This window comes from Homo sapiens, chromosome 6, assembly GCF_000001405.40.
Source record: "Homo sapiens chromosome 6, GRCh38.p14 Primary Assembly".
NCBI lineage: Eukaryota > Metazoa > Chordata > Mammalia > Primates > Hominidae > Homo > Homo sapiens.
Genome location: NC_000006.12, coordinates 34,843,397 through 34,861,310, shown reverse-complemented (window position 1 = coordinate 34,861,310; position 17,914 = coordinate 34,843,397). Strand labels below are relative to the sequence as shown.

The 17,914-nt window shown below is 42.9% G+C and overlaps 1 protein-coding gene across 1 annotated transcript in view; it reads right to left on the bottom strand.

Moving 5' to 3' along the window:
• The window catches only part of BLTP3A (bridge-like lipid transfer protein family member 3A), an 85,432-nt gene that overhangs the window by 16,204 nt on the left and 51,314 nt on the right, over positions 1–17,914 (bottom strand). Inside the window, exons 9-14 of the mRNA NM_017754.4 lie at positions 5,608–5,694; positions 4,902–5,072; positions 4,382–4,521; positions 3,841–3,982; positions 3,394–3,587; positions 1,740–3,187 (exon numbers count right to left, since the gene is read on the bottom strand). Coding sequence (NP_060224.3) covers positions 1,740–3,187; positions 3,394–3,587; positions 3,841–3,982; positions 4,382–4,521; positions 4,902–5,072; positions 5,608–5,694 — 2,182 coding nt within the window. The remainder of the gene's footprint in view (positions 1–1,739; positions 3,188–3,393; positions 3,588–3,840; positions 3,983–4,381; positions 4,522–4,901; positions 5,073–5,607; positions 5,695–17,914) is intronic.

Below are 17,914 nucleotides of genomic sequence, written 5' to 3'. Positions count from 1 at the left end.
CTACCAAAAATACAAAAATTAGCTGGGCGTGGTGGCGCATGCCTGTGGTCCCAGCTACTCAGGAGGCTGAGGCAGGAGGATCACTTGAACCTGGGAGGTCGAGGCTGCAGTGAGCAGAGATCGCACCACTGGGCAACAGAATGAGACCTGTCTCAAAAAAAAAAAATTAAAAATTAAAATTATGACAAAAGTGATCAGAATATGGACAGCCTAGCCCTGTGGAGTATTTACACCTATAGGATAAAAGGAAGAAGAGAGCAGCCAAGGAAAAAGAAGACTCCTTCAGAGAATTGAGAGTAACTGGGTGGGGTTACAAATATTCAGAATGAACTGATCAGCAATGTTAACTACCATAGAGGAGTCCAGGAGAAGGGGGACTGAGGAAAGGCCACGGGCTTGGGCAGTTAGGAAGTCACTGTTGATGTTTTAAAAGGGCTCATTTCACACACCTTTCTTTTCTCTTTTTCACCTCTGCTCTTTTTCCATCTCCCTTACTTGTCTCCATTTAGAAAAGGCAGCACATTGGGTGATTAGAAGTCCAGGCTTTTAATCCTTGCCCCACCACTCACAAGTTGTGTGATCTTGTGCAAGTTTCTTACCTCTCTGAGCCTCAGTTTCCTCATCTGTGAGATGGGGATTGATATTAATACTTGCCTTATAGGGCTATTATAAAAATCCAGTGGACCAATATTATAAGTACTTAGGACTGTGTCTTGTCAGGCAAAGAAGGCACTCAGTAAATGTTGGCTAGTATTATTATACAACTCGACCCTTGAAGTTTTCCTCTCCTTCCTCCTTGCTGTCTGTCCTAGCAGGTACTAGCTCACCCACAGGCATTAGAGACCCACTTAAGATAATTCACTTAGACAAAAGCTCTAAATGCACTGTTTTTATACCATGGTCTCTAAACCACAAAGTGTTCCAGGAAAGACTTCCCTTAGACTCTATCTTTCCTAAAACCATGAGGCACCCATGGGAAAATCGATACTTTTCCACTCGTCTCACTGTGCATTTCTGTGTTTTCCTGTTTACTCCCTACTCTATCTCTGGCGCTTAACACAGAGCCCAGCACACAGAAAGCGCTCACAAGATACTTGCTGAATGGATGAAATTCTTCCTTCTCTATTACTCTGACAGACACTGATAAGGTACCAGAAAAAACAAGTCCAAAGCCACAACTTTTCTATTTACAAGATATAGGATATCTATGAGCTCATCCTCTCTAAAGCCTCAGTTTTCTCAGCTATAAACTGGGGGTACAAATGTCTGAGGCCACCTTACCAGGCTGCTGTGGGGATCAAATCAAACAAAAAAATTAGATGAAAGCCCACTGAAAATAATATTATATATATGCCATTATTATTATTCTGATATAGCATATTTGTATCAATAATTGTGAAGCAAGCTGGGTACAGTGGCAGGTGTCTATAATCCCAGCTACTCAGGAAGCCAAGGCAGGAGGATTGCAGAGCCCAGCAGTTCAAGACCAGCCTGGCTAACACGGTAAGGCCTGTCTTGAGGGGAAAAAATAGTGAATCAGTGAAAAAGGAGATAATCTGATTCTAAGAAGCAATAAATATTGGCTTGAAAACTGCCCATTAAATAGGCCATTCTATGCATTCTCCTGGACTATATGGTACTTCCCAATCTAGAAATGCACATAGTAAGAGGCCTTAAACCCAATGATCAGAACTAGGAGAAGGAGATGGGATGAGTGAAGGAGGTACAGAGCCACTTACTTGGCTGGGGGCAGGGACAACATCTTGTGCATGGTGGAGGTCATTCGATCTCTGCCCAAACTGAAGGCATCCTTAGTCAGGGACACAGCTTCCTTGGTGAGGTCCATGGTGGCATGTAGAGCCTCCTTGGTGGCATCCTTGGTCATGTGAATAGCACTTGACAATTCTCCCTCAATGTTCTTCAAGGGGATGAGCTCACCCTGTCCATTCACAGCAGTCTCCCTGCCAGCTGGGGGCTTCAATGCAGCTGGTGAGCTGGAGGCTTGGGTTCTGCTCAGTTTCTTGGCCTGTAGGGACTCTACTGCCTCATGGCCCTTCCCTGCCAGCTGCTGGGCAAGTGGACCTGAGTCCTGCAGTTCTCCATTGCTATGTGGCCTCTCCTGGGATACATCCTGATTTTCAATGCTACTTTCCTCCAAGACCTTCTCAGGGCTTGCTGGGCCCTGGTCTGATGAGGCATCAGACTTCAGTTCCCGATCCTCTGAAGGAGATAGCTCTGAATCTACGAGGCTAGTGCTATCTGAGCCTGCAGAGTCAGCATCGACAGCACCGGGTGCAGGATGCATAAGCAGAGCCACTTCAGCACTGGGAAAGAGAACTCCAATGCAAGCTGTCTGATTCTGCAGGGGAGACCCAGTCATTGACTCTGTATCCTTAGTCAGCTGCTCCTGAAGCCTCTGCAGCACCTCCTTCAGGCGAAGCAGAGCCAAGTACTGGTAGTGGTCAAGCCTCACGCGGACATGGGCCGGGGAATGTACAAGCATATGAACATCTGCTACATCCTCCAGCTCTGTCAGAGGCCCTTTGTTGTCCATACCACTACTGCCTTCTTTCAGAATTTCCATGACTTCTGTAAGTCCTGATAAGCTTTTCAAGTCATGTTCAGTCTTTGACCGCGGATGGGACATAGAGTCAGGGGCAAGAGCCTCAGACTGGACAGGACTTCCAAAACTGGCTGATGGTTTCAGCCTCCCCTCTGAGGCCAAAAGAAGCTTCCGTGCCTGGGCTTGCTGCCAGCGGAGGGGTAGGCAGGCCCAAATGGACAGGGGGAAGGGGGCTACAAAATTCAAGGTATGGCCTTTGAAGTTTTCTGTTCCCTCAAAGTCCAAGGAGATCTGGGTAAAGTGGACAGACCAGAGATCCCAGGAAGCCTTAGGTCTCTGGGGAGGGAGGGTATTAGGCTGAGGCAGGCAGGAATCCATCTGAAAGGCATGATGCAAAAAAAGCATGTGCAGAAGGCTAAAGCCACCTGGAACCTTAGGAAAGTGATCATAATTGGAATGAAAGAACTCAGCAGCAGCAAAACCCCGGAAGAGACTCTGGAGGTCTGAACAACTACAATGTGGAGCATGACGTGTATTGGTGGCAATCATGCCTGACGCAGAGAAGACAAGGGCCTGGGGACGATGCAACTCTGCCCGCTCTCTCTTTTCCAGTGGAAAGCTCACCTTCACAGAGAAAATGAAACACAATTCAGAATGGTCATCTGAGTATCTCAGCATCCCACTATTAATACACATGTAAAAGATCCTTTGGGCTGTGAAACTATTTTCTTACTTCCACAAAATGGACAGAGCAAAACCATGGATTATATCCATTGGAAAAATGCAGCTGTGGCTACTAACAGGGGATAAAAGTCACACTCTCCCCTCACCTTCAACCAGAATGCATCTAGTCGGATGTCCAAGTGTTCATCTTTCTGACTTGAATCTTCCAGCTTGTAGATAGCTTTGAACTGCTCCAAGCTGCGGTATAAATCCAGGCAAAAGAGGTTTCCCCAGAGCAAACTGACAGGATCCATAGTAAATGTCAGACCATTTAACTGAATGTAGAGATTAGGACAAGGAACTGGAAAGCAGAGGGAAGAAAAGAAACATCCTGTAAAAAGCAATAGCTAGGCTCTTACTACCTAATATTAACTATATTACGAACAGAGCAAAGGTACACATTTATACAGGGCAGAGTGTTTAACAAAAGTGTGCTAAATTAACTCAAACACTGAAAACTCCTAACAACAAATAAAAATATACGTAGTGGCCCCAAGGCTGACAAATGGGAAAAGCATGAGCTAGACAGAAAAATAGCCAGCCTAGATGCTTACCTGGAAGCTCCTGATTATCTGGGAAGTAATACTCTGTGAACTCAATATGAATGGCAGAGACCTGGGTAGGGAGGTTGTGAAGTTTCCGACTGCAGGAAAGGAGTGTAGATGGCTTTTTACTTGGCTGTCCAGCGGTGGAAACCTAAACAATCACAACTTTTTGTTAGTATCAACAATCAAACTTAGAGCAGCCCTCCATTTCTGCTTAGGAAGCATAAAGCCTCTACCATCCCTCTGAAGTCTGTCACAGGGAACACAGTGTCTTTCACATATATTCCAGGTGTTCTCACACCTGCCTCGCACTATACGCGAGTTAGTTTTTTCAGCGGGAGGTTCAAAGCAGAGCATTCACAGTAAAACTGGGGGAATTCCCAAGTCCTGATCTCACCAGCCATGCTCAGAAAGAAACAGACCAAACTATTAATCTTCCCAGAAGTGAGGTAAATAGTCCCCAAATTCCAAAACTTTGTTTATACTGTTCCAGCTGCCTTCCAAGTAAACTGCTCCACCTCTTTCCAACCATGTTTCCTCATGTCCTCACCTGGTGGATGTCCAGGTCATCCACCCGTACCACCATGCAGCTAGAGCGTAAGCGGTTCCATGCTGGAGGCTGAAAGGCAGGCTGTCTGCCCTGAGAGGGGCTTCTCTCAAGAGGGTTCTTTCGAGGACTGGAAAGAGAATCTAAATAAAAATAAGGTGGGAAAAAGAATCAGATACATTCAACTCTCATTACTAATAGAATAAGGAAAGTAAAAATCCTAAGATCATTAATGTTATATGTAGGAAAGAGAGCTTAACACTGTCTAGCTCCTGGATGAACTCAAAAATGATATTATTCTTAAGACCAAGGCAACAGTCTACTGAATAGAAATGATGACATGACATCAACACTGTGGCTATCCCTGGAGTCAAAGAGGTCTCTGTAAAGAAAAAAGTCACTGATGTCTCTCCATTACATACAGCTGGGATAATTAGCTAGTTCTTGCTTTATCTCCACTGTTATTCAAAGATAAATGGCAAGAGGCTAAGCAACTGGAGTCTTCCAGTTCCTCATAACCCACCTGCTTTTCTCCGAAAGAGAGAGTCTACTCCAAGGTGCCAGGGTGGTTTCAGACCCGTCTCTTCATGCCACTTCTCCATTTTGCTCTGAAATTCCATCACCAGCTTCTGGGCCCACTGGCCTCGGGTCTCCATGGCCTCACAGTGGCGTACCCAATGTTTGCAGCTATCACCTGTGCAACGAAGAAGTGAAAAGATTTTAGCCCAAGATCATGATGAATGTTCCAATTTTTCCTTTCTGTCAGTATAGTCATAGTTCAGAATCTGATTCCTCACCCACAGTGCAGAAATCTCTAGGATAAGGAAAAATTATCCAATGATAGGTTGCACATTCTTCTGGGTTCCATATGTGATTTTTCTCAAAGGCTCCCTAAAGGCAAGCTGTTGACTGCTGCCATATTTGACTATGGACTACTGGAGAGGCTCTAACACTAGTGGAAGTGAGGGGCTGAGAGTAGAATCAAAAGCAATATCTCAGGCACTAGATATCTCCCCTACTCACTTCCTCTCATTACTGATAAAGAATCATCAATAGTGGAACCTGCAAGTTTCCAGACGTCCTCTTGAAGAGGGATATTTCCAGCACCCCTCTGAGCATGCACTGCAATCTCTGGCAACCTCCTGTTAAGCGGTCAGGGATGAATCCAGGAATCTGCCCTCAATATTTTGGGCTATGCGAGAATTGGCCCCATTCAGAGTTTTCCTAACCTGCCCAATGGAAAGGGTAATAGTCAAACGCCATCTTGCGGAAGGTAAGCTGCATGGCACCACCCATGAGTCTGTTGGCAGAGACACCTATAAAATAAAAATACAGGTGAATGGCAGTGGAAGGAACAAAGAAGCCAAACCACCACCTAAAGCATGCAGAAGTCCTCTTAACGACCAGCTTCAAAGCCCAGCTGATAACACGGTGCAGCCAAAAGGCCAGGATGTGAGGTGATTTGCAAGGCTGAGGCCCTCTTTTGAGTTACAATATCCAATGGACATGCTCTAAAAGACCCAAAAGAAAGTATATTCCATTGTCTCTGTAAATGGTTGCCAGATTTCCAGAAAGGCGAAAGAGACCGCCAAACTCGGGATTCAGAAATTACAGTCCTAGGCTTCCCAGACACACTCTATAGCCTTGACTGTTTCCCCAATCCTAGTATTATTTTCCCTCAACACAACACACGAAGAGGCAGAAGCCAGATTCCCCCAAAACAATAACCTATATTATTTCCTTTCATATCCTGGCCTCAGAGCTAAAGCTCTGATATTAGACAATGATTATATACTATACGTACAAAGTACCATAGAATGCTAAAAACACTACACAAACAGGACATTATAAAATAAACACATAGAATATTATAGGTAAACTGAAATTTTTAGCAATAAGCCAAATATTACATTATGTTTACCTTGAATTTACATTTAATTCTTACTAAATGAATGAACTTTCCATGTTTCTATCATCTCTTTCCAATTAGACTAAAGAACTGTAAAAGTAGAAAGTATTTCCTCTGCATGTGTGTATTGTCTGGGTCACCCTATTCAACTTCCAGCCTGTCTCCTACTAGTATATCTAGCATAGAGCCTTGTAAGTAGTAGATGCTCAAAAATATAAGAGAAAACACCACAGAAATGAGTGAAGGGAAATACCATGGAATCCTCTAGGTGTAAGCTGGCATATCTTCATCCAGTAGGGTCATTTCCATCCAATCGACATTTTGCCATCCCAAATTCTCCTACCAAGAGAGACCCCTACACAATGTTTCTGTTTCTCAACTCTTCATAATCACCCCCCAAGTAGGCTTTTAAGATACTTTTTTCCTAACTGCCCTCTCTCCATGAAATTTTAATACCACAAATATATATGTTAACATACTATATGTATATATGTGCTTTAACATTTTAAAAAGAACATGTATAAAGCACGCTCTTTTTATTCATTACTGGGTTAAGAAACCCTAAATAATTTTTAAGTTAAAAGTTAAATTAACATTTTAAAAATATATCAATATTTAACTTCAAAACTATATTTGCTAACTTTTAGTTTTATTTATGTATATATTATAATGTCTCAAATTAAATATGCAAATGATCAACTTATATAAATATATAATAGCAATATAATCAAAATTTTAAATATTCCAATTTTTTTTCCACAAATGAAAAACAATTAAAAATTTTTAATTTTTTTCTTTTTTTGAGACGGAGTCTCACTCTATTGCCCAGGCTGGAGTGCGGTGGCACTAACTCTGCTCACTGCAACCTCTGCTTCCTGGGGTCAAGTGATTCTCCTGCCTCAGCCTCCTGAGTAGCTGGGATTACAGGCATGCGCCACCATGTCCGGCTCATTTTTGTGTTTTTAGTAGAGACGGGGTTTCACCATGTTGGTCGGGCTAGTCTCGAACTCCTGAGCTCGTGATCCACCCACCTCGGCCCCCCAAAGTGCAGGGATTACAAACTGCAGGGATAAGCCACCGTGCCTGGCCAAAAATTTTAATTTCTTAAAATTATTTGTAGTGAACATAACCTTTAACTTTTGCTTGATATAAGAAAATAACTGGCCAGGCACCGTGGCTCATGCCTGTAATCCCAGCACTTTGGGAGGCTGAGGCAGATGGTTCACTTGAGGTCAGGAGTTCGAGACTCAGCCTGGCCAGCATGATGAAACTTCGTCTCTACTAAAAATACAAAAATTAGCTGGATGTGGTGGCACACGCTTGTAATCCCAGCTACTCAGGAGGCTGAGGTAGGAGAATCCCTTGAACCCGGGAGGCAGAGGTTGCAGTGAGCTGAGATGGCGCCATTGCACTCCAGCCTAGGTGACAGAGCAAGACTGTCTCAAAAAAAGAAAAGAAAAGAAAAGAATTTTTAGAGGAGGAGGTAGAGCAAAATGGCCAAACACACCCCCTCCAGTGATTATTCCCCTAGCAAGAACACCAAATTGAACAACTATCCAGGCTGGGCATGGTGGCTCATTCCTGTAATCTCAGCATTTTGGAAGGCTGAGGTGGGCCTGGGCAACAGGGCAAAAACACTCCCCCTGCCACAAAAAAATAAAAAAAACAGCTGAGTATGGTGGCGCATGCCTGTAGTCCCAGTCGGGAGTCCTAGCCTCAGTCAGGAGGCTGAGGCAGGAGGATCCCCTGAGCCTGAGAGTTTGCCGCAGTGAGCCGTGATCACATAACTGCACTCCAGCCTGCTTGGCAATGCAGCAAGACCCTGTTGCAAAACACAAACGAAAAACAACTCTCCACACAGGAAATCATAAGAACCAAAAATCAGATGAGTGATCACAGTACCCAGTTTTAACATCATATTAAGTAAAGATGCACCAAAGAAGGTAGAAAAGACAGTTTTGAATTGCTGACACCACCCCACCCCCAGCCTCCTGGCAGTGGCCTCATGGCACAGACAGAATCCGTGTGCTTGGGGGAGAGACATCATAGTAATTATGGGACTTTGCATTGGAACTCAGTGCTGTCACAGCAGAAAGCCAACACAGGGCAGAATTCTGCCAGTGCCCACAGAGCATTTAGACCAGCCCTAGTCAGAGAGGAATCATCCATCCGGAGGTTATTAGAGGTTATTACCTGAGTTCTGGCTAGCCCCATCACTGCATGCTAAAGTGCTCTAGGATCCTTTAAGAAATTTGAAAAGCCACAAGGATTGTTAATTCCTGAGCAACTACTGGTGCTATGCTGGGATCAGAGCCAATGGACTTGGGGTGCAAGTGACCTGAGATGCCAACTGGGATAGCCAAAGGAATGCTTGCATCACCCCTCCCCCAACCCCATGCAGCACAGTTTGCAGCTCTGGGAGAGACTGCTTCCTTGCACCTGAGGAGAGGAGAGGAGAGGAGAGGAGAGGAGAGGAGAGGAGAGGAGAGGGGCGAATACAGGGGACTTTGTCTTGCAATTTGGATACCAGCTCAACTATGGTAGAACAGGGCACCAGGCAGAGTCTTGAGGCCCCCATTGTAGGCCTCTAGCTCCCGCATGACATTTCTAGATACAACAGATCCTGGGTCAGAATGGAACCCACTGCCTTGAAGGGAAGGACCCAGTCCTGGAAGGATTCATCGCCTGCTGACTAAAGGGCCCTTGGGCCTTGAATAAACATGAGCAGCACCTAGACAGTATTTGCCATGGGCCTTGGTTGAGACCCCGGGCTGTGCTGGCTTCAGGTGTGACCCAGTGCACTCTTACCTGTGGTGACCACAAGGAGAGACTCCTCCTGCTTGAGGAAAGAAGACAGAAGAGAAAAGGGGACTTTGTCTTGCAGCTGGGTACCAGCTTGGCCATAGTGGGGTAGGGTACAAAGCAGGCTCCTGGGGTCCCCGATTCCAGGCTTTAGCTCCTAGACGACATCTCTGGACCTGCCCTGGGCCAGAGAGGGGCCCACTGCCTTGAAAGGAGAGACCCAGACCTGAGAGCATTCACCACAAGCTGACTGAAGAGCTCTTGGGCCTTGAGTAAACATTGGCAGTAGCCAGGCAGTACTTGCTGTGGGCCTGGGGCAGTGGTGGTCCTGGAGAGAAATTCCTTCTGTATAAGGAAAGGAAGGGAAAGAGTGGGAAGGACTTTGTCTTGTGGCTTGGGTGCCAGCTCAGCCATAGTAGAATAGAGCACTACATAGATTCCTAAGGTTCCCGACTCCGGGCCATGGCTCCTGGATGGCATTCTTGGATCCCGCCCTGAGCTAGGGGAAGCTCACTGCCCCAAAGGGAAGCACACATGCCTGGCTAGATTTGCCACCTGCTGACTGAAGACCTTGAGTGAATATCAGCAGCAGCCAGGCAGTGGTCACCATGGGCCTTAGGAGAGACCCAGTACAGTGCTGGCTTCACATCTAACCCAGAACAATACCAGTGGTGGTGGCCATGGTGTGCTTGTGTCACCCTTCCCCTCATTCCAGGCAGCTTAGCATGGAGAGACACTGCTATATGGGGGAGAGTAAGAGAACAAGAGGCTCTGCCTGGTAATACAGGGAATTCTTGATCTTACCCAAGACCACCAAGGCAATACCTCTGAGTCACAGCATTACTGGGCTTGGGGTGTCCCTTGATGCAGATACAGCTGCAGTGGCCAAAAATTTAGATCACAATACTCAATTCCTTTTGAATACTTGGGAAGCCTTCACAAGAACGGGTAAACACAACTCCAGACTGTGAAGACTATGATAAATACCTAACTCTTTAATGCCCAGACATCAACGAACCTCCACCAGCACCAAGACCATCCAGGAAAACATGACCTCACCAAATGAACTAAATAAGGCCCCAGTGACCAAACCTGGAGTAACAGAGAATTCAAAATAGCTGTTTTGAGGGAGCTCAATGAAATTCAAGATAACACAGAGAAAAAATTAGGAATCCTATCCTAATCTTTTAACAAAAAGATTAAAATAATTTCTAAAAATCAAGCAGAGGCTGGGCGCAGTGGCTCTTGCCTATAATCCCAACACTTTGCTCCCAAAGCAAAGTGAGATGGGAGGTCAGAAGTTCAAGACCACCCTGAACAACACAGTGAGACCCCGTCTTTACAAAAAAATAAAAATATTAGCCAGTTGTGGTGGTGCATGCCTGTAGTCCTAGCCACTCAGAAGGCCAAAGTGAGATAATTACTTGAGCCCAGGACTTTGAGGCTGCAGTGAGCTATGATTATGCCACTGTACTCCAGCCTGGGCAACAGAGTGAGAACCTATCTCTTAAAAAAATTAAGCAGAAATTCTGGAGCTGAAAAAAATCAGCTGACACACTGAAGAATGCATCAGAGTCTCAAAAGCAGAATTGACCCAGTATGAGAAAGAATTGGTGAGCTTGAAGACAGGCTATTTGAAAAAGCATAATCAGGGGAGATACAAGAAAAAAGAATAAAAAAGAATGAAGCATACCTACAAGATCCAGAAAATAGCCTCAAAAGGGCAAATCTAAGAATTATTGGCCTTAAGGAGGAGGTAGAAGGAGACATTGGGGTAGAAAGTTCACTCAAAGGGATAATAACAGAGAATTTTCCAAACCTAGAGAAGATACCAATATCCAAGTACAAGAAGATTATAGAATACAAGCATATTTAATCCAGAGAAGACTATCTCAAGGCATTTAATAAACAAACTCCCAAAAGTCAAGGATAGAGAAAGGATCCTAAAAGCTGCAAGAGAAAATAAATAACATTCAAAGGAGCTTCAATATGTCTGGCAGCAGACTTCTCAGTCTGCTAGCAGAGAGAGGCATGACATATTTAAAGTGATGAAGGAAAAAAACTTTTTTTTTTTTTTTGAGACCGAGTTTTGCTCTTGTCACCCAGGCTGGAGTGCAGTGGCACGATCTTGGCTCACCACAACCTCCACCTCCCAGGTTCAAGCGATTCTCCTGCCTCAGCCTCCTGAGTAGCTGGGATTACAGGAATGCACCACCACACCCGGCTAATTTTGTATTTCTTTTAGTAGAGACAGGGTTTCTCCATGTTGGTCAGGCTGGTCTCAAATTCCCAAACTCAGGTGATCCGCCTGCCTCAGCCTCCCAAAGTGCTGGGATTATTAAAGGCATGAGCCACTGCGCAGGACCAGGAGAAAACTTTTATCCTAGAATAGTATATCCATGAAAATATGCTTCAAACATGAAGGAGAAATACTTTTGCAAACAAACTGGATTTCATCAACACCAGATGTGTCCTATAAGAAATGCTAAAGGGAGTTCTTTCAATCTGAAAGAAAAGGACGTTAACGAGCAATAAGAAATCATCTGATGGTATAAAACTCACTGGAAATAATAATTACAGAGACAAACACAGAATATTATAACCCTGTGATTATGGTGTATGAACTACTCATATCTTGAATAGAAAGACTAAAAGATGAGCCTATCAAAAATAACTACAATAACTTTTCAAGACATAGACGGTATAATAAAATATATAGAAAAACAACAAAAAGTTAAAAACCAGGGAGATGAAATTAGAGTTTTTGTTAATTTCCTCTTTGCTTGTTTGTTAGTTGGTTTGTTTTTGTAATCAGTGTTAAGTTGTCATCAGTTTAAAATAATGGGGTATAAGATGTTATTTGTAAGCCTCATCGTAATTTCAAATAAAAAAAAAAACTGGCTGGGCACAGTGGCTCACGCCTATAATTAGCCAGTTGTGGTGGTGCATGCCTGTAGTCCTTTGGCAGGCCAAGACAGGTGGATCACTTGATGCCAGGAGTTTGAGACCAGCCTGGCCAACATGGCGAAACCCCGTCTCTACTGAAAATACAAAAATTAGCCGGGTGCAGTGGTGCATGCCTGTAATCCCAGCTACTCAGGAGGCTGAGGCACAAGAATTGCTTGAATCCAGAAGGCGGAGGTTGCAATGAGCTGAGATCACGCCACTTCACTCCAACCTGGGTGACAGAGCAAGACTTTGTCTCTAAAAACAAAAAAAAAAGAAAAAGAAAAAATCTACCACAGACGCACCAAAAAAAAAAAAAAAAAAATGCAAGAAATTAAAATGTAGCACTAGAGGAAATCGCCTTCACAGAAAGGAAGACAGGAAAGAAAGTCAGAAGGAAAAGAAGGCCAGAAACCAAATTAAATGACAGGAACAAGTCCTTACTTATCAATAATAATGTTGAATGTAAATAGACTAAACACTCCAATCAAAAGACACAGAATGGCTGAATGCATTAAAAAACAAAACCCAGTGATCTGTTCTCTACAAGAAACACACTTCACCTACAAAGACACAAATAGACTGAAAAATAAAGGGATGGAAAAAGGTATTCCATGCAAATTAAAACTAAAAAAAGAGACGGAATAGCTATGTATTTTTTTTTTTTTTTGAGACCAAGTCTCACTCTGTCGCCCAGGCTGGAGTGCAATGGTACAATCTTGGCTCACTGCAACCTCCACCTCCCGGGTTCAAGTGATTCTCCTGCCTCAGCCTCCCAAGTAGCTGGGATTACAGCTGCCTGCCACCATGCCAAGCTAATTTTTGTATTTTTAGTAGAAACAGGATTTTGCCATGTTAGCCAGGCTGGTCTTGAACTCCTGACCTCAAGTAATCTGTCCCACTCAGCCTCCCAAAGTGTTGGGATTACAGCCATGAGTGACCGCACCCGGCCCTGATTGATTGATTGATTGATTATTATTATTTTTTTTTTTGAGACAGGGTCTTGCTCTGTTGCCTGGGCTGGAGTGCACTGGTGCAATCACAGCTCACTGCAGCCTCTATCTCCCGGGCTCAAGCCTATAATCCTAGCATTTTGGGAGGCCAAGGCAGGCAGATCCCTTGAGTCCAGGAGTTCAAGACAGGCCTGGGCAACATGGCAAAACCTCATCTCTACAAAAAAAAAAAAAAATTAGCCTGGCATGGTAGTGCATGCCTGTAGTCTCAGCTACTTGGGAGGCTGAGGTTGGAGGATCATCTGAGCCCAGGAGGCAGAGGATGCAGTGAGCTGAGATTACGCCACTGCATCCAGCCTGGGTGACAGAGTGAGGCTATCTCAAAAAAAAAAAAAAAAAAAGGAAAAAAAGAAAAGTAGAAAAATTTCAAGTAAATAACCTCATGGTACATCTTAAAGAACTAGAAAAGCAAGGACACCAAATCCAAAATTAATAGAAGAAAATAAATAATAATAAATACTAAAGATCAAGCAGAAATAAATGAAATTGAAAAAAAAACAATAGAAAAGATCAACAAAAGGAAAAGTTTTTTTGAAAAGATAAACAAAATTGACAAACTTTTCCCCAGACTAAGAAAAAAGAGAGAAGACCCAAATAAATAAAATCAGAGACAAAAAAGGAGACACTATAACCAATACTGCAGAAATTCAAAAAATCAGTAGAGACTACCATGAGCAATAAATTGGAAAACCAAGAAGAAAAGGATAAATGCTTAGCTATATACAGCCTACTAAGATCAAACCATGAAGAAATCCAAAACCCGAATAGATAATAACAAGTAATGAGATCAAAGGTATAATAAAAAGTCTCCCAGCAAAGAAAAGCCCAGGACCCAATAGCTTCACTGCTGAATTTTACCGAACATTTAAAGAAGAACTAATACCTATCCTATTCAAATTATTCCAAAAAATAGAGGAGGAATACTTCCAGAATCATTCTATGAAGCCAGTATGCCCTGATAACAAAATCAGACAAAGACACATCAAAAAGAAAACTTCCTACATGAAAGTGTTCTTGGAAAAAAAAAAAGAAAAAGAAAACAGAAAACTACAGGCCGATCTTCCTGATGAACACTGATGCAAAAATCCTCAAAAAAATACTAGCAAATGGAATTCAACCACACATTAAAGAGACCATATATCCTGACCAACAGGGATTTATCCCAGGAATTCAAGAATGATCCAAATATGCAAATCAATCTATAAGATACAACATATCACAGAATGAAGAACAAAAATATATGATCATTTTACCTGATACTGAAAAAGCACTTGATAAAATTCAACATCCCTCATGACAAAAACCTTCAAAAAACTGTATGGAAGGAACATAACTCAACATAACAAAATGTATATACAACAGACCTGTACCTATTATCATACTCAATGCGGGAAAACTGAAAGCCTTTCCTGTAATATTTGGAACAAGATAAGGATGCCCACTTTCACCACTGTTATTCAACATAGTACCGGAAGTCCTAGCTAGAACAATTAGACAACAGAAAGAATAAAGAGTATCCAAATTGGAAAGGAAGAAGTCAAATTATCCTTGTTTGCAGATGATATGATCTCTTATATTTGAAAAAATCTAAAGACTCCACCAAAAAACTATTAGAACCAATAAACAAATTCAGTAAAGCTGCAGGATATAAAATCAATACACAAAAATCAGTAGCATTTCAATATGCCAACAGCAAACAATCTGAAAAAGAAATCAAGAGAGTAACCCCATTTACAATTCCTAAGTTTATAGGAATAAACTTAACCAGAGAAGTGAAAGATCTCTATAACAAAAACTATAAAACACTGACACAAGAAACTGAGGAGGGCTGGGCTCATGCCTGTAATCTCAGTACTTTGGGAGGCCAAGGCAGGTGGATCACTTGAGGTCAAGAATTCGAGACCAGCCTGGCCAACATGGTGAAACCCCATCCCTACTAAAAATACAAAAATTAGCTAGGCGTGGTGGTGGGTGCCTGTATTCTCGGCTACTCCAGAGGCTGAGGCAGGAGAATCGCTTGAACCTGGGAAGTGGAGGATGCAGTGAGCTGAGATTGCGCCACAGTACTCCAGCCTGGGTGACAGAGCAAGGCTCTGTCTCAAAAAAAATGGAAGCAAGGAAAGAAGGAAGGAGGGAAGGGAAGGGAAAGGGAGGGGAGGGGAGGGGAGGGGAGGGGAGGGGAGGGAAAAGAAATGGAAGTGGACACAAAAAAATGGAAAGATATTCCATGTTCATGGATTAGAGAATCCGTATTGCCTATACCACCCCAGCAACCTACAGATTCAATGCAATCCCTATCAAAATACCAACAACTCCAGACTGGGTGACATAGGGAGACTTCATTTCTATAAAAAATTTAAAAATTAGGCCGGGCGCGGTGGCTCACGCCTGTAATCCCAGCACTTTGGGAGGCCGAGGCTGGTGGATCACAAAGTCAGGAGATCGAGACCATCCTGGCTAACACGCTGAAACCCCGTCTCTACTAAAAAATACAAAAAATTAGCCAGGCGTGGTGGTGGGCGCCTGTAGTCTCAGCTACTCAGGAGGCTGAGGCAGGAGAATGGCGTGAACCTGGGAGGTGGAGCTTGCAGTGAGCCAAGATTGTACCACTGCACTCCAGCCTGGGTGACAGAGCAAGACTCCATCTCAAAAAATAATAATAATAATAATTTAAAAATTAGCCAGGCATGGTGGTGTGCACTTATAGTCCCAGCTATTCAGGAGGCTGAAGTGGAAGGATCACTTGAGCCCAGGAGGTTGAGGCTGCAGTGAGCCATGATTGTACCACTGCAATTCAGCCTGGGCAACAGAGCAAGACCCTGTCTCAAAACAAAAATAGATACCAATGATATTCTTCGCAGAAATGGGAAAAGTAATCCTAAAATGTACATGGAACCACAAAAAACAAACAAACAAACAAACAAACAAAAACAGAATAGCCAAGCCAGCTGAGCAAAGAGAAGAAAACTGGAGGAATCACGTTACCTGACTTCAAATTATACTACGGTGCTATAACCAAAACAGCATGGCATAAAAACAGACATATAGACCAATGGAACAAAATAAAGAACTCAGAAACAAATCCATACATCTATATCTACAGTGAACTCATTACTGACAAAGGTACTTAGAACATACATTGGGGAAAGGATGGTCTTTTCAATAAATGGTTCTAGGAAAACTGGATATCCATATGTAGAAGAATGAAACTAGACCCCTATCTCTTGCCATATATGAAAATCAAATCAAAATGGATTAAAGACTTAAGTCTAAGACCTCAAACTATGAAACTACTACAAGAAAACACTGGGGAAACTCTCCACAACATTGGTCTGGGCAAAGATTTCTTGAGTAATGCTCCCAAGGTACAAGCAACCATGGCAAAAATGGACAAATGGGATGACATTAAGTTAAAAAGCCTCTGCACAGAAAAAGAAGCAATCAACAAAGTGAAGAGACAACCCACAGAATGGGAGAAAACATTTGCAAACTATTCATCTGGCAAGGGATTAATAACTAGACTAAATAAGGAATTTAACAGGAAAAAAAATCTAATAATCCAATTAAAAATGGGCAAAAGACCTGAATAGACATGTATCAAAAGAAGACATACAAATGGCAAACAGGCATATGAAAAAGTGCTCAATATCATGGATCATTAGAGAAATGAAAATCAAAACTACAATGAGGCTGGGTACAGTGGCTCATGCCTGTAATCCTAGCACTTTAGGAAGCTGAGGCGGGCAGATCACTTGAAACCAGGAGTTCAAGACCAGCCTAGCCATCACGGTGAAATCCTGTCTTTACTAAAAATACAAAAATTAGTCTGTCATGGTCACGAGTGCCTGTAATCCCAGCTACTCGGGAGGGTGAGGCATGAGAATTGCTTGAACCCCAGAGGCAGAGGTTGCAGTAAGCTGACATCTTGCCACTGACTCCAGCCTGGGCAACACAGCAAGACTCTGTCTCAAAAACAAACCAGGCCAGGTTTGGTGGCTCACGCCTGTAATCCCAGCACTTTGGGAGGCCAAGGTGGGTGGATCACAAGGTCAGGAGACTGAGACCATCCTGACTAACATGGTGAAACCCCGTCTCTACTAAAAATACAAAAAAAATTAGCCGGGCGTGGTGGCAGGCGCCTGTAGTCCCAGCTACTCAGGAGGCTGAGGCAGGAGAATGGTGTGAACCTGGGAGGCGGAGCTTGCAGTAAGCAAAGATCACGCCACTGCACTCCAGCCTGGGCAATGGAGTGAGACTCCATCTCAAAACAAAAACAAAAACAAAAACAAAATAAAACTACAATGAGATGTCATCTTACCCCAGTAAAAATGGCTTTTATCCAAAAGACACCAAAAATGAATGGTGGCAAAGATGTAGAGAAAAGGGAACCCCTGGACACTGTTGGTGGGAATGTAAATTAGTATAACTACTATGGAGAACAGTATGGAAGTTCTTCAAAAAACTAAAGATAGAACTACCATATGATCAGGCAATCCCACTACTGGATATTTATCCAAAGGAAATGAAATCAGTATGCCCAGGAGATATTTGCACTCTCATGTTTACTGCAGCACTATTCATAATAGCCAAGATTTGGAAGCAACCTAAGTCAACAATAATTTATTGTACATTTAAAAATAACTAAAAGAGTAAAATTAGAATGTTTGTAACACAAATAAATGATAAATGCTTGAGGTGATAGATAACCGATTTACCCTGATGTGATTATTATGTATCGTATGCCTGCATGAAAATATCTCATATATCCCATAAACATATAACCTATCACCCATAAAAATTAAAAAGAAAAAAGAAAATAACTTTTAAACTATTACTCATTGAGTAGTGTCAACATTTTTTCAGCAC